Source organism: Homo sapiens, chromosome 19, assembly GCF_000001405.40.
Source record: "Homo sapiens chromosome 19, GRCh38.p14 Primary Assembly".
Taxonomy (NCBI): Eukaryota; Metazoa; Chordata; class Mammalia; order Primates; family Hominidae; genus Homo; species Homo sapiens.
Genome location: NC_000019.10, coordinates 1,353,182 through 1,380,262, shown reverse-complemented (window position 1 = coordinate 1,380,262; position 27,081 = coordinate 1,353,182). Strand labels below are relative to the sequence as shown.

At 53.6% G+C, this 27,081-nt stretch overlaps 1 protein-coding gene across 19 annotated transcripts, besides 10 other annotated features; it reads right to left on the bottom strand.

The window, feature by feature from the left end:
* On the bottom strand, positions 1,834–25,304 carry PWWP3A (PWWP domain containing 3A, DNA repair factor). 19 transcript variants are annotated; one of them, NR_168278.1, is made up of 15 exons: positions 25,128–25,304; positions 23,814–23,939; positions 23,169–23,254; positions 21,799–21,869; positions 21,563–21,675; positions 19,231–20,127; positions 17,912–18,013; positions 15,684–15,754; positions 13,882–13,958; positions 13,043–13,103; positions 10,923–10,998; positions 10,617–10,667; positions 9,185–9,621; positions 7,103–7,191; positions 1,834–3,744 (listed from the first exon to the last, which is right to left on the bottom strand). NR_168278.1 is itself a non-coding variant. In NM_001369790.1 (15 exons), exons 2-15 carry the CDS (start codon positions 23,868–23,870, stop codon positions 3,687–3,689), a joined length of 2,235 nt encoding a protein of 744 aa, NP_001356719.1. In that variant the 5' UTR covers positions 23,871–23,939; positions 25,243–25,304; the 3' UTR covers positions 1,834–3,686. The 19 variants fall into 19 exon arrangements, 12 of the variants coding, with proteins under 12 accessions (NP_001356719.1, NP_001356718.1, NP_001369337.1 ...); NR_168277.1 differs by lacking the exon at positions 21,563–21,675 and adding an exon at positions 22,650–22,770 and having other exon boundaries at positions 25,243–25,304; NR_024247.2 differs by having other exon boundaries at positions 25,243–25,304.
* Positions 10,793–11,293: an enhancer, noted in NCBI's record as "H3K27ac-H3K4me1 hESC enhancer chr19:1368969-1369469 (GRCh37/hg19 assembly coordinates)". NCBI's record gives its function as "activates a minimal SCP1, AML or CMV promoter by ChIP-STARR-seq in primed H9 embryonic stem cells {active_cell/tissue: H9 hESC(primed)}" and the evidence as "EXISTENCE:reporter gene assay evidence [ECO:0000049][PMID:30033119]".
* Positions 11,294–11,794: an enhancer, noted in NCBI's record as "H3K27ac-H3K4me1 hESC enhancer chr19:1368468-1368968 (GRCh37/hg19 assembly coordinates)". NCBI's record gives its function as "activates a minimal SCP1, AML or CMV promoter by ChIP-STARR-seq in primed H9 embryonic stem cells {active_cell/tissue: H9 hESC(primed)}" and the evidence as "EXISTENCE:reporter gene assay evidence [ECO:0000049][PMID:30033119]".
* Positions 17,863–18,533: an enhancer, noted in NCBI's record as "H3K4me1 hESC enhancer chr19:1361729-1362399 (GRCh37/hg19 assembly coordinates)". NCBI's record gives its function as "activates a minimal SCP1, AML or CMV promoter by ChIP-STARR-seq in naive H9 embryonic stem cells {active_cell/tissue: H9 hESC(naive)}" and the evidence as "EXISTENCE:reporter gene assay evidence [ECO:0000049][PMID:30033119]".
* Positions 17,939–18,233: an enhancer, noted in NCBI's record as "tiled region #14028; K562 Activating non-DNase unmatched - State 14:Gen5'". NCBI's record gives its function as "activates a minimal TATA promoter and a strong SV40 promoter by Sharpr-MPRA in K562 cells {active_cell/tissue: K562}" and the evidence as "EXISTENCE:reporter gene assay evidence [ECO:0000049][PMID:27701403]".
* Positions 24,618–25,503: an enhancer, noted in NCBI's record as "H3K27ac-H3K4me1 hESC enhancer chr19:1354759-1355644 (GRCh37/hg19 assembly coordinates)". NCBI's record gives its function as "activates a minimal SCP1, AML or CMV promoter by ChIP-STARR-seq in primed H9 embryonic stem cells {active_cell/tissue: H9 hESC(primed)}" and the evidence as "EXISTENCE:reporter gene assay evidence [ECO:0000049][PMID:30033119]".
* Positions 24,618–25,560: a biological region, named in NCBI's record as "H3K27ac-H3K4me1 hESC enhancer GRCh37_chr19:1354759-1355644".
* Positions 25,096–25,165: a silencer, noted in NCBI's record as "silent region_9703". NCBI's record gives its function as "represses an Ori minimal core promoter by ATAC-STARR-seq in GM12878 lymphoblastoid cells {active_cell/tissue: GM12878}" and the evidence as "EXISTENCE:reporter gene assay evidence [ECO:0000049][PMID:35858748]".
* Positions 25,226–25,515: a silencer, noted in NCBI's record as "silent region_9702". NCBI's record gives its function as "represses an Ori minimal core promoter by ATAC-STARR-seq in GM12878 lymphoblastoid cells {active_cell/tissue: GM12878}" and the evidence as "EXISTENCE:reporter gene assay evidence [ECO:0000049][PMID:35858748]".
* Positions 25,400–25,560: a silencer, noted in NCBI's record as "fragment chr19:1354702-1354862 (GRCh37/hg19 assembly coordinates)". NCBI's record gives its function as "represses an EF-1alpha promoter that drives an FKBP-Casp9 reporter gene in an ReSE screen in K562 erythroleukemia cells {active_cell/tissue: K562}" and the evidence as "EXISTENCE:reporter gene assay evidence [ECO:0000049][PMID:32094911]".
* Positions 25,546–25,645: a silencer, noted in NCBI's record as "silent region_9701". NCBI's record gives its function as "represses an Ori minimal core promoter by ATAC-STARR-seq in GM12878 lymphoblastoid cells {active_cell/tissue: GM12878}" and the evidence as "EXISTENCE:reporter gene assay evidence [ECO:0000049][PMID:35858748]".

Here is a 27,081-nt window from a genome sequence, read left to right as displayed (position 1 = left end):
GTACTCCAGCCTGGGCAACAGAGCCAGACCCTGTCTCAAACCAACCAACCAACCAACCAACCCACCAACAAAAGCAAAACAGAAAATGCCTCAGGCAGTGGGGCCCATGAGAGTGAGGTTTCTGTGGTTTGGAATTCTCGCTGCATGCCTGTGTTGCCCCTTTAAGATGGACGAAGTGCCCCGTGCGGCCACCAAGGCCACCTTGTTGGAAGTGATCCGACAGGCACAGCTGTGCCACTGAGGGGGAACCTCAATTCCCCTCACACTGCTGGGAACAAGTGAGACTGGCTTCGGAAAAAGCACTGGCAGGGACATGGGGGTCTCTGCAGCTCAGTGAAGGGGGCTTGGTGGAAGTCATCAGACAGGCACAGCTGTGCCACTGAGGGGGGACCCCAATTCCCCTCACACTGCCAGGGCGGGAACAAGTGAGACCGGCTTCGGAAAAAGCATTGGCAGGGACATGGGGGTCTCTGCGGCTCAGTGAAGGGGGTTGGGGAGTGTGGGCCAGGTGGTTGGGGGGCTGGCAGAAGCACGCACCCAGGTTCTGAGACACCCGCTGGGCCAAGCCAGAGAGGGAAGGGGCGGGGGTCAGGGGAAGGACGCCATGGTTTGTGGACAGCAGTTTTCCACGGAGCACCAGGCCACGTCTGGGGACATCTGTGGTCATCTCGATGGTAGAGGCGGGAGCTCCTGGCATGGAGACACTCAGCACCCAGCAGGACCCAGGACACCCCACCCCAGTGACACAGGTCCAGTGTCCTCAGTGCCAGGGACAGGCTCAGGTGGGGATGCAGGGTTAGCTAGCTGCCAGAAGAGAGGCAAAGCGTGCAGGCTTCTGAGGGCAGGGCTCCTGGCGTCTCCCTGCGTGTGTGCACGGGGTCAAGCCTGTCTTCCCGGGGCTCCGGCGGCAGTCGAGGAACGCCAGCCATGCTGTGGAGAGGGCGAGCCCAGGACCACCCATGCTGGCATCCTCAGGGCCCCGGAATGCTCCTCACTGGCCGTGCCTGTGAGGTCAGCACCCCTGACTCCCACTCAACTGCCCGGCTGACAACCCAGAGCACCCACGACCCCCCATTACTGAGGGAAGCACCCAGGCAGGGCCTGTCCCAGCGGCCTTGACACCCTCAGAGCCCACAGGACAGTAAGGGCAGAGGGTGCAGGCGGGGTGGGACGCACAAGGGGGCCTCTGGCACATTCTGGTTCCACCTGCTGGGCAGGGCTATGCTGCAACACAGGTGCTCATCGTCATTCCGGCTGGAGTGCAGTGGCGTGATCTCGGCTCACTGGAGCCGCAGCCTTGACCTCCAAACAAGTGTTCCTCCCATCTAAGCCTCCCCAGTAGCTGGGGCCACAGGCATGAACCCCAGTGAGGCCCCTGGCTGCTGTTTATTTTTTTGAGACGGAGTCTCACTGTGTGGCCAGGCTGGAGTGCAGTGGCGTGATCTCGGCTCACTGCAACCTCTGCCTCCCGGGTTCAAGCAATTCTCCTGCCTCAGCCTCCCCAGGTGCTAGGACTACAGGCGCCCACCACCATGCTCGCTAATTTTTTTTAGCAGAGATGAGGTTTTACCATGTTGGCCAGGCTGGTCTCGAACTTCTAACCTCAGGTTATCCACCTGCCTTGGCCTCCCAAAGTGCTGGGATTGCAGGCGTGAGCCACCGCGCCCAGCCTCTGGCTGCTGTTTAAACAGCACCCTAGGCCCGCCAGTGAGGTGGGAATCCACCCCAAGGCCAGGCCATGTCCCTGGGGATGGCAGGGTCACTCTCCCATTTCCAAGCTTGGACAACCCATGCAGTGGGATGTGTTTGGGGGTTCAGAAAAGACAAGCCAGAGGTCTGGGAGGTGTTTAATTCCACCTCGAACAACTTGGCAAGGTCAGCAGAGAAGCAAATGGATAAAAGTACTTCACAACAGCAGAAAAGTTCCATCAGGGGCGCGTGATTCCCACAAAACCATGGCAATGTGTCCTACTCTCAGGAACCCACAATGGAGGGCGGCTCCGGAGGATTTTCCATGAGGCAGTACGAGGCCCGTACATGCAACGCTGCTGAGCCCCGCCTCAGGCGGTGGTACTGGCCGCCCCGAGTCCCCGAAACAGCGACCAGCAGGGGGCCAAGGCCGACAGCCCTGACCCCCGCCTCCTCCGGGGTGTGCCCCACTGCTCCAGACAAGACAGACCCCAGCGTGCGGGCATGGGAGGCGGAGCTGCCAGGCCACGGCCGGGTTTCCTGCTCTCGGAGTCGAGCAGAGGCAAGTGAAACAAAGGTCAGTGAACACCGAGGTCCAGAGCAGCCGCCGCCTCTGGCACCTCCCGAGTCCCAAGGGCCCGATACGAGAGTCCTTGCGGCTTCGTCCCGCACAGCGCCCTGCATCTGAGACAATCGTGTTCCGATCTCCTCTCCGGTGGCTGTCGTCGGCTGGGGAGGGCCTGGGGGAAGAGGGTCACAGCCCCTCAAAGCAAGGCCTCCAGCCAGGGCCAGATGCAGCCCAGCCAGTGGGGAGAAAGCAGCTCCCAGGCCACCGGGCCCTGGAACCCTGGACATGTCACCAGCACTGCTGTGTAGGCACAGCCTGGAGCATCCACTGAGAATGGACAAGTCATCGTCTGTGGCTTTGCTCTTAACAGCACGTCTGACCCTGCTGGAGCCTGGCTGAGCCCCACGGAGTCACAGCCCTCAACAACCTGCAGCCCCGGCACCGTGCTGTGGACCAGAGCCGACCCGGCAGCCACACCCCGGAAGCCGCTTCTCCAGACGGGAGCGCGGTTGGGCCTCCATACAAAGGCTGCGCTTCTGCCATGGCGGGCACAGGACAATGCGGTTTGTCACTCCACCCCAGGGCTCCCACAGTGACCCTGACTGCTGCGGCCACCCTGGGACCCCAGCATAGCCATCCGCGCCGATGACTGAGACCGCGGTGACTGGCTGTGCAGTGACGACACAGTGCAGGGAAATGCACTCAGGACAGGCCAGGCGGGCGGGGGAGGTGGAGGCGGTCTGGCCCATGGCAGCCAGGGCATGTGGCTGCGCGCTGCGGTCCACTCACACACAGTGCGGGACACAGAGGCCCCTGGAAAGGTGCGTGTCCTGCTCCTCTCCCTGCGGCCACAGCAAACACGACACAGAGCAGCGGCTCGTCTCTGCTCCCGCCTCTAACGAAGGCTGTTTCCTCACAGCTGCAGAGCACACTGAGTGGGAGAGCAAATTCTGGAACTGTCGCAGGCGGAAACCACACAAGGGGGAAACAGACAAAACAGCAAACCCGGAAGAACCATTCCCGCTTCCGAAGCTCCATGATCACGGCAGACGCTTCTTAAAACCTCCCGTTTAATATCAGATGCCACACATACGAGATCGATGTGCACGTCGGGAGAAACCACAGCACAGCCAGGAGTACTGGCGCACAGTGAATACGCTTCCGTCCTTTCAAAAGCCTTTCCCGAACGGTATCTTGTAAAAAATGCCAAAAATAAAATGAAAAAAACTGCCAGGAAAAGAGAACTGGCTTTCAGTGTTAACGAAATGGATTCTCCAGAAGCATGGAAATCAGGACTGCCACGCAGGAGAACGCACAGACAGGTCCAAACGCAAACGTGCCCCCTGAGCCCCCCATCTTCAGACACGCTCATGCACACTGGAGGCGCTTCCACCGCCAGGCCCCGCTGACAGCACAGCCGGCTGCTCCCTCACCGACGGCGCCGGTTCCGCTCTTCAAGGAGCTGGTTGTCAAATATTTCTTTTTCCCTTCAGAAAACAAGAGTCTTCATTTTAGTAATTAATCATTGTGTGTTAAAGAATATGAGAGAGAGGACTGGGTGTGGTCGCTCACGCCTGTAATCCCAGCACTTTGGGAGGCCGAGGCAGGCGGATCACAAGGTCAGGAGATCAGGACCATCCTGGCTAACACGGTGAAACCCTGTCTCTACAAAAAATACCAAAAAAAAAAAAAAACAAACAAAAAAAAAAACAAACAGCCGGGCGTGGTGGCGCATGTCTGTAATCCCAGCTACTTAGGAGGCTGAGGTAGGAGAATCGCTTGAAACCGGGAGGTGGTGCTTGCAGTGAGCCAAGATCATGCCATTGTACTCCAGCCTGGGCGACAGAGCTAAATTCTGTCTCTAAAAAAAAAAAAAAAAAAAAGAGTATGACAGAGAGTCCAGGCACTTTGGCTCACGCCTGTAATCCCAGCACTTTGGGAGGCCGAGGTGGGTGGATCACGAGATCAGGAGTTCAAGACCAGCCTGGCCAAGATGGTGAAATGCTGTCTCTACTAAAAATAACAAAAATTAGCCAGGCGTGGTAGTGGGCACCTGCAATCCTAGCCACTCGGGAGGCTGAGTCAGAAGAATCGCTTGAACCAAGGCACGGTGGGGGGGTTGCAGTGGGCCGAGACTGTGCCACTGCACTCCAGCCTGGGTGACAGAGCAAGACTCTGTCTCAAAAAAAAAAAAATAAATAAATACATATGTGTGTGTGTGTATGTCTACATATACATATGATATATAAAATTATATATTTTATATATAATATAAAGTATACATACTTTATATATATTATATATTAAATTGTTTTATATATTATAAAATTGTACATTTTATATATAATATATACAATTATATATTATATAATATATAAAATTGTTATATAATTGTATATATTATAATATATAAAATTATACATTTTATATATAATATATTTTATATATAATATATATTTTATATATAAAATATATAAATTATATGATTTTATATATTATATATAAAATTTATATATTTTATATAATATATAAATTTTATATAATATACATTATATATAAATATATATGGCTATATATATTTTATATATATAATATATATTATATATATATGAGAGGGCAGTTGTTTGATGGGGACAGAGCTGTAGTTTGGAAAGATGAAGTTCGGAGATGAGCAGCAGTACCGGCTGCATAGCACTGTGAAAGTGCTCACCGCCATCGAACCATACACTTAAGAAGGTTAGGATGGTAACTTTTACAGGATGTGTAATATTTTTTTTTTTTTTTGAAACGGAGTCTCGCTCTGTCACCAGGCTGGAATGCAGTAGCACAATCTCAGCTCACTGCAACCTCCACCTCCCGGGTTCAAGCGATTCCCCTGCCTCAGCCTGCTGAGTAGCTGGGACTGACTATAGGCGCGTGCCACCATGCTTGGTTTTTTTTTTTTTTTAAAGTAGAGATGGGGTTTCACCATGGTGGCCAGGATGGTCTCGAACTCCTGACCTCGTGATCCACCTGCCTCGGCCTCCCAAAGTGCTGGGATTATGGGCGTGAGCAACCGCACCAGGCCTTAACAATGTTTTAAAATAATATTTATTTTTAGAGACAGGGTGTTGCTCTGTCACCCAGACTAGGGTGCAGTGGCATAATGATGGCTCACTACAGCCTCAAACTCCTGGGCTCAGAGGATCCTCCCACCTTAGCCTCTCAAAGTGCTGGGATTACAGGCATGAGCCACTGTGACTGACTAAAAATAATTTTTTACGAAAGAGTATGAGATGCCAAATTGTCCTTACTAAGTGACCTCCCTGTAAAGGAAAATTATAACAATTGCTTAGCTAGCAACCCCTCTCAGCAATAGGGCTGCCCTGGATCAAAAGAGATCAACAACGGCTGCTGGCTCTGATGTGCGCCCCAGCAGACCTGGAAATAGGGGAGAGCACACCGGCCGCAGCACCAGAGAAAGGCAGACCTGAGGAGGACAGCCTTGGGAAGAGTGCAGAGAGGCTCATGGTGCAACTCTAAAAGAACAAGAGGGCCTGGGAAACGCCGTGCGGCGGGGAGACTGGGTCCCAGGACGCCCAGTGTGTGACCCAAGGCTCCACTGAGGCCAAAGATCAAGTGCGATGCTGCTCACTGGCTTGTTATTTTGAGCATGTCCCCGGCGTGATGAAATCACGGCCTGTGTGCTCAGCCCAAGTAACTTCTCCATCAGCACCAGCACCATTCTCACAGGTCACGGGAGGCTTTCATGGCAACTGGAAGCTGTGATGAACTCCTAACGGGTTTTGATGTCGGCAACCCAGACTCAAAAAAAAAAATCAGGATGAAAGATTTCCACAGATGGGCGTGGAGCGGTGAAGAGGCTTCTGAGACGGAGGGAGAGGACAAACCAGCAGGCTGGGTCCAGGTGTCCTGGCTCCGACCTTACCCCCTCCCCGGACCTCACTTATTCTTACGGCAAGCATGACGGGGGAACCATGAAGATCCAGCAGGAAAACACCCAGTTTCTGTATCCAAAGGCCTTTCCTGTTTTGGTAAGCCAGCTGGGCCAACACTCCCTAAACAAGGCCAAATTCCACCTTTGTGCAGCTCTGCGGGGGTGGCCTGCCAATGCCACCGAGGCCCCACACCTCCTCCCTGGCCTCTCCAGGGGCCCCTCCTGCCCTGCCCAGGGAGGACATGGGGCTGGTGAGGGAGTTCAGTGTCTTCACCAGGAGTCTCCTGTGACTGTGGGCCCGGGAGACGTCGGTGGCTGCGCAAGCCACCCTGGCCGGAGACCCTGTCCTTGACTCTAGTTGAGTCTTCAGCCTGTCACTGCCCCGTGGGCCCCGCCTGGCTCCCAGCAAGGCCTGGCCGCATGCCCAGAGACAGGATTAGGCGCTCTGGGGGCCAAACATCCAAGGGCAGCTAAGCACACGGATGTGAGAGAAACATCTTGATCACAGCATTCTTCTGGCTGCTGGAAAGCACCGGGCCGTGCTGCTGCTTAATCTTGCTGTATTTCTCACACAGCCATGGGGCTGTGGAAAGAGGGGAGGAAAGTGCAAAAAGCAAACATCAGCCCCTGCAAAAAGAGATTAAGAACAGACACGGCCCAGGCACGTGCCCGTGGCCCCGTGCTGCCCACAGCGACCAGCTGGGAGACCCGGGCACAGCCTTCCTGGGGGGCAGGAGTGACCCACAGGGTGAGTTCAGCGTATGTGATCAGCTCACCACCCAGCACCTGGGCCACCTCATGAGGGAGAGGGGCTGCGGCAGCCTGGAGTCAAACTGCCTGTGGGTGTGGAAATAGAAACTGCAAGGCAGAGACGCAAGTGGCTGGAGATAGCGCCGGGAGCGGCCTACCGGTAGCTCAGCGAAGGCCCCTTGATGTACTTCTCCTCAGCCGTCTTGTAGTCCACCTCGTCCACCGCAGAGATCGCACAGATGATGGCCTGTGAGAGGGCACGGGGCTCAATAGCAGCAGGCACTGCCCAACTGGCCCCAAGTGGCCTGCGGTTAAGAAGGCCGCAGGGAGCCTGGGTCACCAGGTTCCAGCCTCCAGACATGGTCTAGCTCATGGTTCAGAAGGTGCAAACCTAGTCCATGAATCCCTGCTTGTAATGATGTTTCTTAATTAAATCAGTACTATCTTTCGGACTAGACACAATAGCTCAGATCACTAAAAGCAGAGAAGAAAAGGCAAGACCCAAACCCACAAGAGCATTTCTCAAAAATTTTAAGTTTTTTTTTTGGTGGCGGTTTTTTCTGGTACAGAGTCTCGCCCTGTCGCCCAGGCTGGAGCGCAATGGCATAATCTCAGCTCACTGCAACCTCTGCCTCCCGGGTTCAGGTGATTCTCCTGCCTCAGCCTCCCGAGTAGCTGGGATTATAGGTACGCGCCACCACGCCCAGCTAATTTTTGTATTTTTAGTAGAAACGGGGTTTCACCATGTTGGCCAGGCTGGTCTCAAGCTCCTGGCCTCATGATCCACCTGCCTCGGCCTCCCAAAGTGCTGGAATTACCGATGCGAGCCACCACACCCGGCCTTAAGTTTATTGTTATAAAAAAAAAAGAGTATCCTGAATACACAATACATACCTGACATTAAGAAATCATCCCTATTTTTTACTTTTGTGATTATGGTAAACACATTTTTAACAGAGTCCATTCGGTTCAGAGCAGAGTCTCTCCCACTCGGCCCTGTGGACGTCGGGGCCAGACTGTTCTCTGAGGTGGGGCTGTCCTAGGCGCTGCAGGGTGCTGAGCAGCGTCCCTGCCCCAACCCACTCCATGCCAGAAGCACCCTTAGCTGTGACAAGCACAGATGTCCCCAGACACTGCCAGTGTCCCCCAGGGGGCAGAATCACCCTCCTTTTAGAGACACACACTGAAGTATTTATGGGCTTAAAAAAAAACTGTGGCCGGGAGTGGTGGCTCACGCCTGTAATCCCAGCACTTTGGGAGGCTGAGGGGGGTGGATCACGAGGTCAGGAGATCAAGATCATCCTGGCCAACATGGTGAAACCCCGTCTCTACTAAAAATACAAAAAATTAGCCGGGCGTCGTGGCGGGCGCCTGTAGTCCCAGCTACTTGGAAGGCTACAAGAGAATGGCGTGAACCTGGGAGGCAGAGCTTGCAGTGAGCCGAGATTGCGCCACTGCACTCCAACCTGGGTGACAGAGCGAGACTCCAACTCAAAAAAAAAAAAAAAAAAAAGCTTGAGGGTTTTTATGCTCCAAAAAATAATTCCAGGCAGGTTATGGGCACATTAGAGTTCATTATGCTATTTTCTTTTTGGGTCTATTTGAAAATTCCCATAGTTATAAAGTTAAATAGTTTTGAGTATGTTTTTTTCCCACAGATGTACACATATGCCCAGCAATGTCCTCTCTGAAATTTCAGATACAAACTTCAAAATCATCTGTATTTGCTCCTCACCAAGCCCCAAATCCGCAGCTGAAGTTCGAAATCACAGACAGTCTAATTTGTGTGTTTAACTTACCACGGGTTTATCAGAGTATGAGGCGCATTATCCACTTACAGTTTTTCAACTTACAGTGGGTTTATCTGGGTACTAAATGCGATTCTGACTTGGGAATTTCCAACTCGCAGTGGGTTTCCCAGGACTGACCCACCGAGGCTGGGAAGCATCTGTGCGCCCGCAGTAGGGAGGGAGTTCGCACCCCCTGGTGCTGACAGCTTCTAAGCAGCTCCATCTCTGCACAGGGGTCAAGTAAGCGGCTCCGTCTCCGCACAGGGTCAAGCGCACGCACTCGCATTTCCCAGCACTGACAGGATGTAAACACAGGAGGCCTCCACGCTCCGTTGGCCGCCGAACGGCCAGGGAGCAGGGGCGAGGACCGTGGCAGCCTCCTCGTGCGGAGTTGCAAAATCCCAGCGCAGGCCCCTCCCTGCCCACGTGACACGCCGGTCCGCGGCTCACCTCGGGCAGAAGCACGTCCAGAATGAACCGGATCCGGTCGCCGTTGGTGCGCTGGAGCACCTTGGCCCCCACCTCCTGGTAGACGCCCTGCAGGTACTTCACCACCAGGTCCAGCTGCCCCTCATCCTCCAGGTAGGTCTCCACACAGGTCACGTACTGGCTGGAGCTCAGGAAGGTCTGCAGCCAGCGAGATGGCTTCCTGCTCTTTAGGATGGCCCGCAGGTGGCTCTCCGCGCCCTTGGCCTTCACAATGTACTCCACCAGCTTCTGGTTGGCCCGGTCCCGGGCGGCCCGCGAGCGGTCGGGGAGCATTTTCCGGCAGGGCTGCCTCTGCCCCAGGGGGCACCCCACCACGGGCTCCTCGGGGCTCCCCTTGCTCAGTTGAGGAAGCTTGGTCCCCAAGACGTCCTGCTGGATGGATTTTCGGACAGGATAGCCTGCAAAAGAAGCACCTGTCGTGGGACCAGCGCGTGGGCTGCCTTCCTCGGGTGGCTGTGGGTCAGGGCCGATGGGAGGCTGCGACATGGCAGGGATGGGGGCAGACCCTAGCGATCGAGCTCCGTGTTAGCACGGGAGTGGAGCATTCACGCTCCTAAAGACACTTCCTCTGCTGGGACCCCCGGCCTTTCCCCCCTCACTGGGCCCTGCAGCCAGGTTTAACCCTTATAGCAGAGAAAAGCGCCTGCCCGTGCAGCACTGCCCAAGCAGAATCAATTCAGCCACGTCCACTCCTCCACCAACCAGGAGGCATGGAAAACTCCACTACTGTCGATAAAGGAAAATGCTGGATCGACAGTGAAGTGGTGGCCAAACATCCCGGTGTTCGTGACACGTTCTCTTTTTGAGACCAGGTCTTGCTCTGTCACCCAGGCTGGAGTGCAGCGGTGCAATCACATAGGTCACCACAGCCTTGAACTCTCGGGCTCAAGCCATTCTCCCACCTCTGCCTCCCGAGTAGCTGGGGCTGCAGGCACGCAAGCCACACGCCCAGCTCATTTTTTTCTATTTTTCTGTAGAGATGGGGTCTTGCTCTGTTGATCAAGCTAGTCTTGAACTCCTGGCCTCAAGCAATCCTCTTGCTTCAGCCTCCCAAAGTGCTGGGATTACAGGTGTGAGCCTCCGCACCTGGCCTACATTCTTCACAACATCTGATGTGTGCAGCCACCAGCCACAGCAGGGACACGCTGGATGTGGCCCATGGGATGAGGGCCCCAGGGCAGGCTCGGGATGCTGTGCCAGTGGACACCAGCAGCCCCAGGTCCCAGGGAGCCTCAGGGTCACATCAAAACCTCATAGAGGTTGAACAATGCTGTGTGGCTGCGGACAGTGCCTTGACCCCAACGTCCCCTTCCACAGCTTCAGACATAGAAGATTGTTTTTCTAAAGGGCTAAAAGGCAAACCACATTTTCCAAGATGTGCCTGTAGACTTACTTATATCAGCCGCGTAATATTCCAGGAAAGAGCCAGCAAAAGACCCGCAGCCTGCAGGGGGTGGAGGGGAGAGAGCACTGTGTAGACCTAAGAGGAGTCCCAGGAAGTGTGTTCCAGGGGCTGGCCCGGCGTCTCTGTTTAGGAAATAATCAGGCCAGGCCAGAACCCCAGCCCACCCACAGGGAATGCCCCAGGCCCACGGAAATATGCCCCGCCTCCAGGCAGCTCCGGCCCAGCCCGTCCAAGGGGTCTTCAGAGGCTGGACGCCTGCTGCCCAGCTCCACCCCTCCCCAGCACCCCACGTACCTAACCGGACCCTGTAGTCGGTGATGAGGGAGACACACCAGCCGATGTCCTGGTTGAAGTCCTCCCTGGCTTGATTCTACAATGAGATCCGGGCAGCAGGCGTCAGTGGGAGGCAGTGCCAAGCACCCTGGGTTCAGAAGCCACGCAGAGCCCAGGGACCAGCCAGGTGTCCAGGCTGCTCACGCTCCAGCCCGCACCTCTGACCCTCCCTGACAAAGGGGGCTCTGGCAGACGCCTCGCACAGGGACCCTCTGGTAAATGGGAAACGCACCAGGCACAGGTCTGGGCCCTGAGCTGCTCAAATGGTGGGCACCGGGGACCCGATGGCTTGGGCTGATCTGAACGCAGGTGGGCACCGGGGACCCGATGGCTTGGGCTGATCTGAACGCAGGTGGGCACCGGGGACCCGATGGCTTGGGCTGGTCTGAACGCAGGTGGGCACCGGGGACCCGATGGCTTGGGCTGGTCTGAACGCAGGTGGGCACCGGGGACCCGAAGGCTTGGGCTGGTCTGAACGCATCGACGGTGCAAACACCTCCCCTGTGGCCACTGTGCCACATGACAGGACATCAAGTCCTGGAAATAAGCTGCTCTAACAGCCGTTTTTGTTGGGAGCTATCGTCTGCAGCCAGGCTAGGCCAGCACCTGGGCTGCTCTAACAGCACCTGGGCTGGCAGCAGGGTGGGTCCCCAGAAAAGGACACAGCCGTCCCAAAGATGCCATAAAGCCACGACCATCACACAATGACCCAGGGAAGACTCTGGAGCCGAGGGCCACTAGGGGTACGGGGGCACCCCATAAGCACATCCCAGGGCCGGGTGGACGCCGCTCTCTGCCTGCCCAGCAGCCCCCGCACTTTCCTAAAGCACGGCTTCCCCAATATCATCCCTCAGAAGCCACGGTGACTACCACTGAATCAAGTGGGCTTCGGGACCACCACATACCTGACTCACAAGCAGATGTGAGCGCACTCTTAGGAAGAAGAAGCGGGCACCCTGTGCTCTCAGAACCCAGGGTTTTTGATATAAACGGCAGCCCTTCTGCGTTTAAGGCACGGAACTTCCTGCTCTTCTCCTCACCCCACACCTTCATCCATTTTTAGAAAGTAACTCAGTTCCAGCCGGGCGCAGTGGCTCACACCTGTAATCCCAGCACTTTGAGAGGCTGAGGCAGGCGGATCATGAGGTCAGGAGTTCGAGACCAACCTGGCCAATATGATGAAACCCCGTCTCTACTAAAAATACAAAAATTAGCCGGGTGTGCTGGTGCCTGCCTGTAGTCCCAGCTACTCGGAAGGCTGAGGCAGCAGAATCGCATGAACCCAGGAGGTGGAGGTTGCAGTGAGCTGAGATCGCACCGCTGCACTCCAGCCTGGGCAACAGAGTGAGACTCCGTCTCAAAAAAAACAAAAGAAAGTAACTCAGATCCCTGAGAGTGGAAAAGACACAACCACTTTTTCTTTTTTTCCAGAGGAGTAAAAATAACTGCACTGAGTTGACGTGTTGGTGCTGGAAGTCGCCACAACAAAATGAGTATTTCCAGAGGGGAAATAGACATTTCTGAGTTAGACAAATCCCTTGCAGTTCATCGACAGCACATGATGAAAGCTGGCTGCAGATCCAGGGAGCAGGAAGCCACTCTGCAGCAAGACGTCTGCCACGTGGTATCGGCCAGGCTCACTGCAGCACTTGAGCGCCCACAGGGCTCCCGACGCTGAGCTAGGGACGCCCCCGGCCGCAAGGGGCTGGCTACCGAGGCCACCGTGACATGGGGTGGACTGAGACAGTCGGCCAGGGAAGGCGGTGGCCTTGCGCAGAGGCTCTCTGCTGTAGCCTTGCCTGGTGGCCCTGGGTAAACTGTCCTCGCCGGAGCCCCAGCTTCCTTACCCGTAAAGCGGGGAAATGGGGCCGCAACTTCCCAGGACAGTTGTGAGAATTCAGCGCAGTGACTGAGCCCACGATCTAACTCTAACGGCCAGAGCGCAGCCTGGCTCTGCTACTTCCCACAATCATTCACACGCGTACACCGCAGCCATGGATTTCAAGAGCTACACACAGAGGACATATTTACTAATCACAAAGTAAACCATTTAAAGCAAGCACAAAACATCATCCACCTACCAGAAGCGTCTGTTTCTCTTTACAATCAAAGTGCTTTAAACTTTTAAGAGACACTGTGAAACTTGAAGCAGAGAGAGGGAAAAGTTAACATGAATGAACTTCCTCTAATAAGCTAAAAACCTTTCCCTGTCTCTGATTAAGATCAGTGGAGGCCGCTGGAGGCCCCACCAGCCCCAGCTTATTTATGGAAGGTGACCGTTTCCCCAGCTGCCAAGAAGCTCCCAATGCACCATGGTGGGTCCAGTGACTTCAGCAACACTGACTGGGCCCCGCCAGGACAGGCCGACCTCGGGGCCTGGGTCTCCACTCCACACCTCCCACCCCTCGGGGGCAGCACAGAAGTACCAGATGACACCGGTTCTGCGCGTTCGACTTGGGGATATGCAATGCGATGGTTCTAAAGGCTGCTTTCAGCCGGCTGATCCATCCACGTGTGCTTTCATCCCATGACTAAGGAACGACCAGGTAACCCAGGGGCAAACTCAGGTGGACGCAGGGATGCTGTCTGCACACCTGCGTGGACATTTTGCTGGTTTGTGGGAAACAGGGCCCCAGTGAGTGTCTGGTTGGGCTGCCTTTCAAAGCCAGCAAATCAAGTTGTGAAAACTGGGGTGTTTGACCAGACCCTTCACACCCAGCCTCTGTCTGACTCACCCATCCCAGGGAGTGAGAGGCCACAAGAAGGGCACACCTCCAGTGAGACCTCACTAGCCCTGCCCGGGCCTGGACTCCTGCCGGGGCCTCCCCTCTGTCCCTCCATCCCCACGCCCGCTCTGACTCTGAGAGCGGCCGGCCTGGCCCCTCAGGCCCATTCACAGAAACCAAGAACAGCGGGTTACCCTTTCATTTTCGGGTTCATGTGTCCTTCGATGTATAGCACACTTGCTTTCTTATCTCTCTGCCTGACGCTTTTGACCTGTTCACAAATCCAAGAAAATAAAACGTCAAAACAAAAGAGATCGTGGATTTTAAATATTTTTTTGTGACATCACATGATACATCTAACAGGCGCTGACCCCAGCTCTGGGGGTGACCCCAGCGAAGTCTCCCGCAAGGAGGCGCTGAGAAACGGCCCCATGCTCTGCCACACGCATCACTTGAACGTTTTCCCATCTGAGCGGAATCAGCCAGTTTTGTTTGGGTTTTTGAATAAAAAGAACCACAGCTACCGCTGCCAGCTGCCTCTTTAAATAAGCGTCCTGAGATTCTCCAGCGGCTCAGCAGGGCAGGTTTGTCCTCCTAATGCTCTGGGTGAGTGGAGGAAGTGCAGAAAGGCTCGGGAACAAGCCCAGGCCACACGGGGAGGGGCAGGGACTACAGGGCGCTGCCACCTCCCCACAGCCTCCCCAGTCCTGGCCTCCCGGGGCCACCGTGAGAAGGCAGTGAGGAGCAGTGGCGACCAGCGCCTCCGATGGCCCTTCCGCCCTGCGCTCTCAGGGAGGCTGCCTGCTCTTATGCCCCAGGAACCTGTCACATCAGTGACCTGTTAACCCAGCAGGGACCCCAGAAACTGATGAAAACAAGGGAAAGACTACCAAGGTGCGGGAGAGGAAACCAGTGCCAAGGGAGGGCGGAGGGTCCAGAAGCCCGGCCTCCATCTCCGCCGGCCAGTAGGCGACACAAGGAGCCCAGCTAGGCCATAAACGTGTTGAACCTCCCCAGCGAACACCACACAGATTCAATCCCCGGTTTCCCGGAACCACAATCAGTCACATGCAAGGAGCCTGGGTGACTCGAGTGAGGTCAGTCATTAGAGCAACAAAGGCGTCTCTGGATTACTGCAGGGCCAACGCCTTTTGGCGTTTGTGTCTTAGGAGGATAAAGGGAAAAAGGGGTAAGATATGAAGGAGAGGCGAAGGCCAGGACAGCACCCAAACCAATGACCTGCAACTTCCAGGCCTGCAGAGACAGAAGCAGAGAATCTGCCCCGGCTTGAACTCATCACCCACACCGGGAACTTGGACAGGATTTCGAATTCCTGTTTGTACACATGCAACCAACCCCACCACAAAATCCAAATTAATGAGCTCTCATGGGGTGAAATGCACAATATTTAAAATGAGCAAATCACAATTCTTTTTTTTCCTTTTTCTTTCCCCCGGAGACGGAGTCTCACTCTGTCACCCAGGCTGGAGTACAATGGCACAGTCTTGGCTCACTGCAACCTCTACCTCTCGGGTTCACGCCATTCTCCTGCCTCAGCCTCCCGAGTAGCTGGGATTACAGGCGCACGCCACCACGCCCGGCTAATTTTTTGTATTTTTAGTAGAGTCAGGGTTTCACCATGTTGGCCAGGCTGGTCTCGAACTCCCGACCTCAGGTGATCCACCCACTTCGGCCTCCCAAAGTGCTGGGATTACAGGCATGAACCACTGCACCCGGCCGCAAATATTTTTTTCGAGTAGGTCTTTCTAAGCCTGCTTGGTGAAAATGTGGCCTATCAACTTAACACCATTGTGCCTTAATTTAGGTACAGGCATCTCCTGAAGTCTTTTCTAAAAACCCACCAACTTTTCCCAGGAAAAACAAAACAATGAAAACATTTATCCTGATCAAATTATCAAGAACTAAAGATGGATGGAATAAAAATTCATGAAATTTAAGTAACTACATCTGAGAAGACGGAGGAAGCTGTTCTTACCACTGCTGGCCAGAAGGGGTATTTTTTATGTTTATGCCAGACTAGCATTCCTACTTCAAACGAACGTGGTTCTAGAATTAAAGAAAAAAGAAAAACAAAAAAAAAAGAATAGACAAGTCAAATCCATATCAAGCACCAGGTGTAACAGCCTGAGAAAACACAGTTAGCACGATATTGTTAAAACCTGACTTTGTGTCATTCGCTTAAAAGATCAGGAGAATCTGAAAGGCAGATTCACATACCCCACACTACTTGAGTCTAACCACCAATGATGAGACAGTGAAACCAGCAGCTGAGTGGGGTGCTGCACTGGGTTCCCAGCTGCGACAAACGCACCCTTGGGATGGGAGGGGTGCCACGAGGGGCGGCTGGGGCTCTGTCCTATGTGTGCGCGACTTTCCTAACTCTAAACCCCGCGGGAAGACACTTTTAAAGAGTGTGTGGCACAAAACAGAGGTGAGGTAATGGCACGCGGAGAAGACCCAAACACAAGGACTGAGATTCTAAAGAGGATTCTGGGAAACTACAGTCAAAAATGGGAAAATTATTTAAATCATAACTAGAAACTATTTATGAATGAAATATTTTCAATGCCAAAAAACAAGTGAATTATTTAAAATTTTAAAACTAAAGTATTAGAAAAACTACTGGAAACAGTCTGTCGTTAGACACACAAAGCCTGTGTCTGACCGCACTGTGGAAGGAAGGAAGTGCCGTGGTCCATAAACACAGATCAAAACCTAAAGGCCTATGAAGTAACCAACGTGACCAGAGAAAAAGGGAGGCCCACTGGGGTGAGTGTCTGCTGTGAACATGGCACAGCGTCGTTTCCCCAGTGAGGGGCATTTAGTCTTTAAGAGAAACTTCCAGGCCCACGTGGACAAACAATCAATTCAGAGGCCGGTCAGGGAACCCTCAGAAAGACGCCCAGCCTGACAGGTAGAAAACAAAACCAAACGGGAGCAAAACCCAGCTCCCACCGCAGGCAGGAGAAGCCAGGCAGCACCAGCCTCTGTATGTCCCGGTGACCCAACCCCAGTGGGGCAGCGTGGTCGGAAAGGGCCCTTCCCGAGGGCACTGTGCTCTTCGTGTGTGCGAACGGATCCTGCAGAAATGATTTCCTGGAAGTCCCCAATGGGTGCCCCACAGCACCTGCGGTCCTGGGACCATCCAGACAGGTGCCCAATGGGTGGGGCAGGGTTTGGTGAGTGGTGACTGCTCACCCCAGAGGAAAAGGATCAGAAGAGCATGTGGAAAACTGTTAAAAAGTCTGACCATTAGCATTAGGCAAAAAAAAGGGAAAATGTGAGACTGTAATGAAGCCCTTTCAATGATGGAAAAGCACTCAAACAGTGTAGACAAAAAAAGAACGACATAACAAGGCCACCGGCACGCAAGTGTGCGTGGAATGGCGCTCCCGAGGCTGCACACGCACCAGCTTCCTGGCCGGGGACATCCTGCGCCTTACGGATGCTGCCAGTGGGGAAGCCCGGGTGAGAAGCCCCCTCACCTCCCTTTACTATTTTTGCAACATCCTGTGAATCTATAATTATTCTGAAACTAGAAGGTTAAAGAAAAGAAAAACAAGACTTGGTTAAGAGGAATGGTTCACGGGCGAGTCTCAAGTGGGGCTGGTTCTTGTGACTTGGTTTGCGAAGCCGACTTTCTGTTCGCGGCTGGCTCAGATCTTTGGGTCTCTCATTTCTAGTCCCTTCCACGTAGATGCTCAGGGGCACCTAAAGGCAGGTTTTCCTCTAGTGCAAGCAGCTACTTACAGGAGGGGCGCGGGAGCAGTTCACTCTTGGGCTGAAGGCCCTGCCTCCCTGGACAGCCCCCCAAACGCCATCACCAACGGAAGCCGCGAGACAGTACGTGGCCACACCCGAGCAATGGCGACGCAGCCCCTCGGCTCACTGGGCCATCCCTCACTCCCCGCGAGGGGACAGGAGGACAAGGGCTTGAGGTAAGTGACAGGAGTAATGCTCTAACAGGGAGGGCTGGGCCGTCTCTTCCCAGGAGTCTCTCGTCCCTTTGTGTAGGTTATTCTTAAGATAGAGGACTGAAAACGTGACACTTCTGAAGGTCCCTTCCAGGTCTCGGTTCAGTGGGAGAGAAATGAACTCGCAGGAGACCTTTCATGGAGAATGTGGGGCCCGGTCTCGGAGCCCCGCCGCCGCTGCCTCTGAGCGCACCGTTAGGACTGCCGGCGCCCCCTGATCATTTCTTACCGTGGTATAAAAGGACTCTTGGTGGCTCCTCGTCTTCCTCGTCTTCCTCCAGGATAGAACGCATGGAATTAGACCCCATGGACTCTTCGGAAGACTGGCACTCTGCCAATAATGTGATATTAGACTTTCATGGTCATTGCATTGTCTTGATGACTCATCCCAAGAAAACATTTCATGACACATGACCATCGATGCATAAAGAAAAGGTTCCATGCTATACACAACTCCACACTGCCAAATTCAAACAGAGTGCGCTTCTAATAAACTACATTTTAAAGAAAAACGCAAGAGGGAAGGAGGGAAGGAGGGAAGGAGGGAGGGAGAGAGGCCTGCGGTGAAGGGAAGGCGGGCCGTAAGCAGCAGCCACCTCGGCCACAGAAGCTGCGCGCACCCTGGGTGGGAATCCCTTTTGTCCCGGCCTGGCTGTCCCTTCACATCTGAAGCAATCAGTGGATATGCAGGGAGGGGGCCAGGACAGGAGCTGACTATAGAACAGGGTAGGGGTGCGGATACGCAGGGAGGGGGCCAGGACGGGAGCTGACTATGGAACAGGACAGAGGTGCGGATACGCAGGGAGGGGGCCGGGACGGGAGCTGACTATGGAACAGGGTAGGGGTGCGGTCACTTTGTCTTCAGAGCGTGGCAACCTCAGTTCCCTGCCGCTTCCAACGTGCTAAGGAGATGATGACCTCAGGAAAGAAGTTCAGAGTACAGACTGAAATATCTGCGCGGTAAGTTTGTAGCAAGTAGATTTCCAGACATTTGATCATGTGGTAATTAAGATTTCTGAACTAGCATTTAAAAAATAAAGGATGCTACAGTGTTAAAAGGAAAAAAGTCACAGTGCTTGCCTGCAACCACACAAAAATATATCTGCACAGGAATTCTTTAAAAAGTCAGTCTTTTGAGTGAGTGAATCACTTTTGAGATTGCTGCCCAATTTAATAGGAATGCGTTACTGCTTCCGTTAAAAGAGTTAATCCTCGGGGTGCAGCCGCAGCTGCGGCCTCAGCACAGCCACAATGCTCCCAGCCGCGCCGCAGACAATCGTGGCCCGCCGCCCCTCTACGGGCTCCCCACTCACTCAACTCCCTTCCCTTCTAAACAAAAATAAGAAGACAAATATTTAGAAGTTGAAGCAATTATAGCCCAGTGGGGAGACAGACAAAAAGGAATGAGGAAGTCTCTGCTCTAAGTCTATTTTGGCAACGATCTCATTAAAATCTGGTCAAAAACACCCACGTGCCTGGCTCCCAGTCTGGCTGCGGAGGAGCAGGACTCCACCCTCTGCGCTCTCCTCCTCCACGAGAAACTTTTACCTTTCTCCAGCTTCTGGGAATCCGGGCAAGGAAGACATCTGGTTGCATCCGCAGAGGCGTGGGAGGGAGGCGGGCCCAGCCTGGCGGTGCTGCGCGGGGTCACAGACTCTCTGGGCCCTGGCCCCGGCCCGGGGGATGGTGCGGCCCCTGCTGCCATGGGCTCCAGCTGCACGGCAGGCGGCCTTTGGCTGCCATCCAGGCGCGGCCTCTTTTTCGCAGGGCATTCTCCAGGCTCTGAGCAGGCCGAGGGCTCAGGGGCTGGGGGCGCAGTGAGGCTGCCCAACGGCAGACCGGGGTCGTGTCCCTCAGCGTTGGCACAGGGATCGTCCTCCCTGACCCCGGAGGGCAAGGACGGGGCTGCCCAGCTGCCTCCTTTGCTCCCCATGTCTCTCTCCGTGTCGTCCTCTGAAAGGGAAGATCCATTCAGGCACAAGCTAGCCTTCTGCGCTGAGTTTCCTCCCCTCTTACTTGCAAGAGTCCAATTTTTGTGGTGGATTCTGGACCCACTCTCATCTTGGGCACCACCTCCAGCTGGGAGGACCAACGGGCCTCTTGGGTTTTCACTTTTCCTGAGCCCCTTCTTGTGGTCCACTTTGCACTCGGGGTCCTTTTCACAAGTGAACGAACTTGACAGGCTTTGTTGCACACATGGCCTCCTCCTGTGAGGTCTGGAACTGCCCAACACGTCTCCGCGGGGAAGAGATGAGGAGTTCGAATCACAGGGCGAGGAGACATGCTCCATGGGCTTCCCTCGCAGAGACCGGTCAGCTCTACCTGTCCCTGCAGAGCTTTCTTGACTCCAAATCGAGCCCTCGCTCAGAACGTCCAGAGCCACGCGAAGCGACCGTCTGTAGGCCAGTTCTTCCAGGGGTGCCGCAGGAACCTCATTCTGTGAGGCTGCAAGGACCGAACATACACAATGCCGGTTACGTTCACTGCACAGGCACTGCGGTCACGGCATCGCTTTAGAAGCTCGCTTGTCTCATTCTGACGGCTAGTTTCATACCTAAATCACTGAAGGGGAGGACTAACATTTCTCACCTACATTTTCCCAAAAAGGAGACGAGGCTACAGAACGACAGCTATTCATTCCGGGATTCGAGGCTTCATTTTTTTAAAAACCAAATTTATTGACCTTAACCTGATTGGCTAAAAAGATAAATTCCTCCAAGTTACAAAACAATACCGTGAGCAAAATGTATTCAAATGTTTTGCAAATCCTCTCTCAGCCTTACAATTTCAAATTCAATCAGGGTCAATAAAAACCAATGCCAACTAAATAAAGAACTCTGCTGGCAACGTATTCTTGGTTGGTGCAGGGGTTGGTGGTAGCAAGGAAAAGGAGATTTAAAAGACTCATTGTGGGCTGGTAAATTTTCAATACTTCTTTGCAAGGGCATTTCAAAGCCAGCAAAGAGCATCGTGGGCCTCTGGTTTCCAGCCCAACCTCCCTGCTGCAGCACTTTTATTTATTCATTCCGACATATAGATACGGCGCTATTTATTTGAACAAGATGATGGATGTAATATCACAACTCAGCGGGCATAATGCCTCAATCAGAACAGTATTCTCCCCTTTGAATATTAAAGGCGCCCACAAACAACCAGCCCCCCAACACAATCTGCGCCAACAAGGACGACGCCATCCAAGATGATGGTCAGCCCGGCCTAAGTTATGCAGAGATGGATCCTGCTTTAAACAAGAGCTGTTTTTCGGAAGACACAGGAAAATAGACCTGATTTTATAAACATCATTGGAAGGAATTCCGGTCCATCTTTTCACAAGAGAAACAATTATTTGCAAATGGGATAAACAGTTCCACTTTGAGAAGGAAGGCTGGCAGGTTTGGGTTTGCACAACTGTGGCTAGGGGGCAGGCAGTCACCAGTGCTCCTCACTTGTCATGTATGTGCATGACCAGTCCCCGGCTGGACTCAGGCAAAGCTTTTCTCACCCACAGTGTGCAAAGGAGGTGGGTGCTAAACTGAAGGCCTGGGAGAAAGCGCACCCGGATGGATGGGAAGCCGAGAGCTCCACTTCCGACCTGCCTCGTGCCCCCCATGACAGTGCCTCAAACAATGGGTGCCACCAACCCCAGTGCCAGGCCACCCGTTCTCTCCCTTGGGCTCTGCTCTGGAATTTTAAACACACAACCAACTGCTTCTCAAACCTTGGGCTGAGACCAGACTGGCCAGGCAGCGACAGTACCACAGCAAATCTTACTATAGGAAGAGGAAAGGAAAAAGGAGGACCTCCCCCCTTATGGCAGCAAAGTCCTTCCTCGTCTTGTGTACTGGAGGCCACGGGGGTACGAGATGACCTTGATGCTCACCACTGACCATTCTGGGCGTCAAGAATAGGAGTGGTTCTAGGGGCAAATTCTGGAAAGGTTTAAGAAAGCGGATCCATTTTTCCTTCTCCTTCAGCTCAGGGGATTCGCGTTCCCTTGTATGAAGAAAAACATGGTGAACAGGGTGAATTTTTACCCAGAAAGCTGAGCCTTCACATTCTCCCAAATGACCTCTTATTTTATGAAAACCTAGTGGCCACTTAAAAATACGCTCTTACCTAACGAGGAAGCAATGGCTTCAATTTGAGACTTCTCTAGGATCTCAACTTCAGTGCTTTTCACCTTAATTCTGCAGAGACAAAATCGACGTTACACACCACCAGCCAACGCCGCCAAGACATTTTCAAACATGTTTTCCTTTAGATAACAAAAGAATTATTTTCATTTTCCTCCTCAACCTTCCACTTAAACCAAAAGTCACAGCCAACTAGGAATTCATCTGCCTGAGGTTACAGGCAGCAAGAACCCTGGTGAATGGTTTTTTTTTTTTTTTCCTTTTAAGACAGAAAAGGTTGGCTGGATTTAAAAGCAAAAATGAATTCAAATTGTGACTTTTATGAAGCAAATCCTACTTTCAACTGCACAAATCACTCCTTTGTTAGATTTTCAGAGTAGATGGTAATGTCACTAAAAGCTGTTTACAGCCCAGCAGGTGTGTTTTGGTTTAAAAGGATGTGCTTTCCTTTTAAACTCGAGTATTCAATTACCTTCCCAGCCGCAGGGAAAGTGTGAGCTAGGGACCAAGCGAGCTTCAGAGGCAGCTCTGAAGATGCAGGCAGGAGGGAGTGGGGCAGGGGGAGCTCCACAAGGAAGAGCAACAGGGGAGCCAATGCCTTGGACTACGCGGGATCAGTCTCCTTGCTCTCTTCAGAACTGGGAATTCTCACGACAGATGCACCCTCGCCAATCACGCAGGACTGACCGGGGCGTCGGAATCGCCGTCATTCTAGATGATCTACACCTTCCCGGTGCCAGACGCGCCCTCGCCACAATCACGCAGGACTGACTGGGGCGTCGGAATTGCTGTCATTCTAGACAATCTACACCTTTCCCAGTGCCAGACACTCACGGAGCAGAACAATGTGCCGCCTGGTCATCAGTTATTTGCCTTTTGAACGTTAAACGCTGGTTTAGAGTGACAGGCTCAAAAACCAAATATTTCAAAATTGATGGGCCTGTCACAGACGTTTCTGAAAAAAGACACACAGATCTCTGGGAAGGAAACATCCCTATTTTCCTGGCATGGCACTGATTAAGAAACAGTCAAAAAAAAAAAAAAAAAAGGAAATATCCCTATTTTAACCACAAATAGGGTCTACCCTGAGTATAATTTACATGTATTCAGTGTTTGTACCAATCTCTCCATAGATCTCACAGAATGCCTCGTTTGGATCTTCAGCTTCCAAACTGACATAAAATCAAACTAGTTGCTTTCTCATGAGGTTATTATGAGCATTAATGAATTACACAAATGGTGAATAAGCCCATTAAGAGTGGGCTGGGCTTCAACTGTTTTGGGGGAGTAGGGGATTGAAGTATCAGAAATCTACACGGGAAAAAACAGTATTAAAACAACACAACACTTAACTTTTCCTCTAGAGAGAGGATTTGCACAGCTAGAAAATATTCCTTTCTTCTCTTATTTTTTGTTGAAGTCGCGGTTCGGGCCAAAACCTACATTTAAAACAAAAGAAAATCCTTGTTATTACAACAGCTGACAGTGAGAAACAGTGGCAAACTTTAGCACAAATGCAGCAGGTAATCCTGAAGGCCTATAACCATGGGATTTCAGATATTTGGTCCAATCCCCATTGTTTCACAGATGGGGAAACTGAGGCATGAGAGGCCAGTGGCAGACAAAGACAAGGACCTGGGCTTTTGCATTGCAGCTGAGCACTGTCTACTGAATTGCTGGAAAGCATTCCCTGAACACGACCATAATTTACTATCACAGGGCTGCTTGCCAGATCTTTCCTTGAGTTACAGCCTTACATGCCTTTTTACAGCTGATTCTTTTTTTTTTTTTAGTGTGAAAAAAAAAAGACATTTCTGGAAGTGTAACCTTGGAAGCACTAGACCAAAACCCCATTAAATGGGGAACGAGAATCAGTGCCAACCGTGTTCTGGCTCAATTATTTCACTGAAGCAAATCCTAGGTATCTCCTGATCAAGATTTTACTTGTCACCCGAAAGTCATTTCTAAGTCCTGAAGTTACAGAATAATGGCTGTCACCTTCGCAGGCCATAATCGCTTTTCCCATCGGCAGAGGACATACTTGGCATCCGCCATCATTTACACTCATGTGGCAAGTGGCAATGATTTGGCACAACGTACTCCCAGGTCTCACGCCAATGTGTCCTGGAACGAAATTTGCACGGTGGTTTATACAACTGTTTGCTGGCGATGTTAACGCAGACACAGCCCTCAGGGGCAAAGGTTAGCTCGACTTAGCCTCAAGTAGATGGTTTAATTCCACAATCTTGCATTGAGATGCTCAATGCCAAAAAGCAGACTGACAAACAGAAACGACGGGGCTCGGTATCCAGGGAGGCGCCTGCATTTTTTCATAAATAAAATACAGCACAGTCCCTCCCAAAGGTTCTATCTAGATCAGTTTTAAAAGGCTCCTGAATAAATCATCTCCGTGCGGAAGACCTGCCTCCGACCTCGGCAGGAGAGGCATTTTACACAATCAAAGCTCACAACCCTCCCCAATTTGGGGAGTTAACAGTTGACCACAGCACACACACAAAAATAAGAGCGGAAAAACGACTGCTCTTTTGGCTGCCATGTCCCTGAAAGAACGGGGACAGCTGCAGACCGTTCACAGCATCAATGGGAAGGACTGGCTTGGCTGTTGACAGAAATGAAAAGGAGGTTTGGGGGTGGGGGTGGAATTTAGCAACAACGGAGGGGGGCGTCCCCGCAGCAGGGAAGAGGAGGTTCCCAGCAGAGGTAGGGGTGGCGTTTCCAGCAAGAGAGGGGATCACAGCAGCAGCAGAAGTAGGGGTCCAGGCAGCAGGGACAAGATTTCATGGCGGAGGAAGGGTTGCGGCTTGCAGGAACGGGGGATTCAGGCAACAGAGAAGGGGGTCACAGCAGAAGCGGGGGGGCTCAGGGAGCAAGAACGAGGGCTCACGGAGGAGGTGGAGCGGAGGGTCCAGGTGGCAGGGATGGGGGATTTCACGGTTGGGGGTGGGGAATCCAGGGAAGCAGATGGGGGTCCAGGCAAGAGATGGGGTTCACGGCAGACGTGAGGGGGATCCAGGGAAGGAGATAGGGGTCCAGGCAGCAAGGATGGGGGAGCGGGTCCAAGCAAGAGATGGGGTCCGGGCGGCAGGGACGGGAAAAGGAGTCCAGGCAAAGTGAGGGGCCCACGGCGCCAGGGGCGGAAAAGGGGGTCCGGGCAGAGTGGGGGACCCACGGCGGTAGGGACCGGGCGCTCCCGGAGGAGTCTCTAGGCCGGGGCCCCCCCTCCCCCCAGGCCCGGCCTCCTCGCCTCAGCCCCGCCCGGCGGAACCGAGGGGACGCATCCCGCGGGCTCACCGGGCCCCCGGCTTTCCCCAGCGCGGCGCCCCAAGCCCGGGCAAGGAGGCCGCAGCGGCCGCAACAGCGGAGGACCCGCCCGCCAACCGCTGCCGTCCGCGCCGCCCGCGCTCACCGCCTCCGCCACCGCCGCCGCCGCCGCCGCCGCCGCTCCCCGCGGGGCCGGGGGCGGGGCTTGCCTCGCGGCGGCGCCAAGCTCCGCCCCCTTCCGCCCGCTGCCCAATGGGACGCGCGCGCTCCCAAGGAGCGCCGGCCTCGCCCTCTCCGGCGTCCACGGCCGCGCGCCGGCCCCGCCCCTTCCGCCGCGCGTCTACCCCTTTTTCCCGGGAGTGCTGCCTGAGGAGACCGGTTGGCGGGGCATGTGTGGCCGCTCCCGGGCGCCGCCCTCCCGCGCTCCCGGCCCTTTGTCCTGCAGTCAGACCCCGGACACCGCCCTCGCGGGTCTCGGTGGGAAAACAGGCTCCCCCGCCCGCGGCGATCCCTGAGAGAACCTTCCAGAACTTTCGAGAATCTTCCAGGTCCTACGGCACCTCCCAGCCCGGGAGCTGCGCGCCACGGACCCAATTCCAGCAGATCCCAACCGATCCCAAAGCCAGGCATCCCCGCAAAGGCGTCATAAGCTTCTGAACTAGAGCAGGACCCACCTTGGGAGGGTCCCAAGACCCCGGGGGGCACCGGAAACAGCCGCGGGTGGCGGGAGCCCCGGAGCGGTCGCTCCATCAGTGTCAGGCCTTTCCCTGAGCGGTTTTTGATTTTTTTTCAGACGGAGTCTCGCTCTGTCACCCAGGCTGGAGTGCAGTGGCGCGAGCTCAGCTCACTGCAGCCTCCTCCTGCTGGGATTACAGGTGCGCGCCACCCCACCCGGCTAATTTTTGTATTTTTAGTAGAGAATACTAAATGTTGATCAGGCTGCTCTCAAGCTCCTGACCTCAGGTGATCGGCCTGCCTCGGCCTCCCAAAGTATTGGGATTACAGGCCTGAGCCACCTCGCCAGCCCCCACAGTTCTTTAAAAGCAAAGGAGGCCGAATTGGCAGATCCTTTAAGCCCAAGGATTGGAGACCAGCCTGGGCAACATGGCGAGACCCCATCTCTATAAAAAAGATACAGGCTCACTCCTGTAATCCCAGCAGGAGGCCGAGGCGGGCAGATCACATGAGGTCAGGAGATCGAGACCAGCATTGCCAACATGGTGAAACCCCGTCTTTACTACAAATAGAAAAATTAGCCGGGCGTGGTGGCGATGCCTGTAATCCCAACTATTCAGGAGGCTGAGGCAGGAGAATCGCTTGAACCCGGGAGGCGGAACTTGCAGTAAGGGGAGATCGCGCCACTGCACTCCAGCCTGGGCAACAGAGTGGGACTTCGTCTCAAAAAAGGAAAAAATTAAAAGACTTACAGCAGCATTCGTCACGCACTGGCCCCGACTCTTCAAGGGGAAGGGGCGACAGCAAAGCCGGCTCTAACTTCTTTTTCCTTCTCACATTTGCGGGAATAGAAGGTTTGTGTCTTCGGTCGATCCCAGCAACCTCAGCGACTGATTTTTTTTCCTTTATCAAGTTGAGAATGTTCACCTTTCACTTGTTTTTTATTTTTATTTACATTTTTGAGTCGAAGTTTGGCTCTGTGGCCCAGGCTGGAGTGCAGCGGCCCAGTCATAGCTCACTGCAGCCTCAACCTCCCAGGCTCAAATGATCCTTCCACCTTAGCCTCCGGAGTAGCTGGGACCACAGTGCGCACCACCATGGCTGGCTAAGATTTTTATTTTTTGTAGAGAGAGGGTCTTGCTATGCTGGCCAGGCTGGTTTCGACCTTTTGGGCTCAAGTGATCCTCCCACCTCGGCTCCCCAAAGTGCTGGGATCACAGGTAGGATCCACCTTGCTCAGCCGTCTCAGTTTGTCTATAAAATGGGGGTGGTGGTCTGTGGGTGGTTGGCAAGAACTATGTCTCTGATA

Bases quoted from the DNA above. Each gene is read 5' to 3' on its own strand.
- PWWP3A (NM_001369790.1), bottom strand. From the start codon at position 23,870: ATGGCGGATGCCAAGTATGTCCTCTGCCGATGGGAAAAGCGATTATGG. The intron at 18,014-19,230 runs GTAAAAGTTTCT...CATTATTGGCAG, and splicing joins TTCCCAGAAGCTGGAGAAAG to AGTGCCAGTCTTCCGAAGAG. The intron at 15,755-17,911 runs GTAAGAAATGAT...CTTTAATTCTAG, and splicing joins AAGAGTCCTTTTATACCACG to AACCACGTTCGTTTGAAGTA.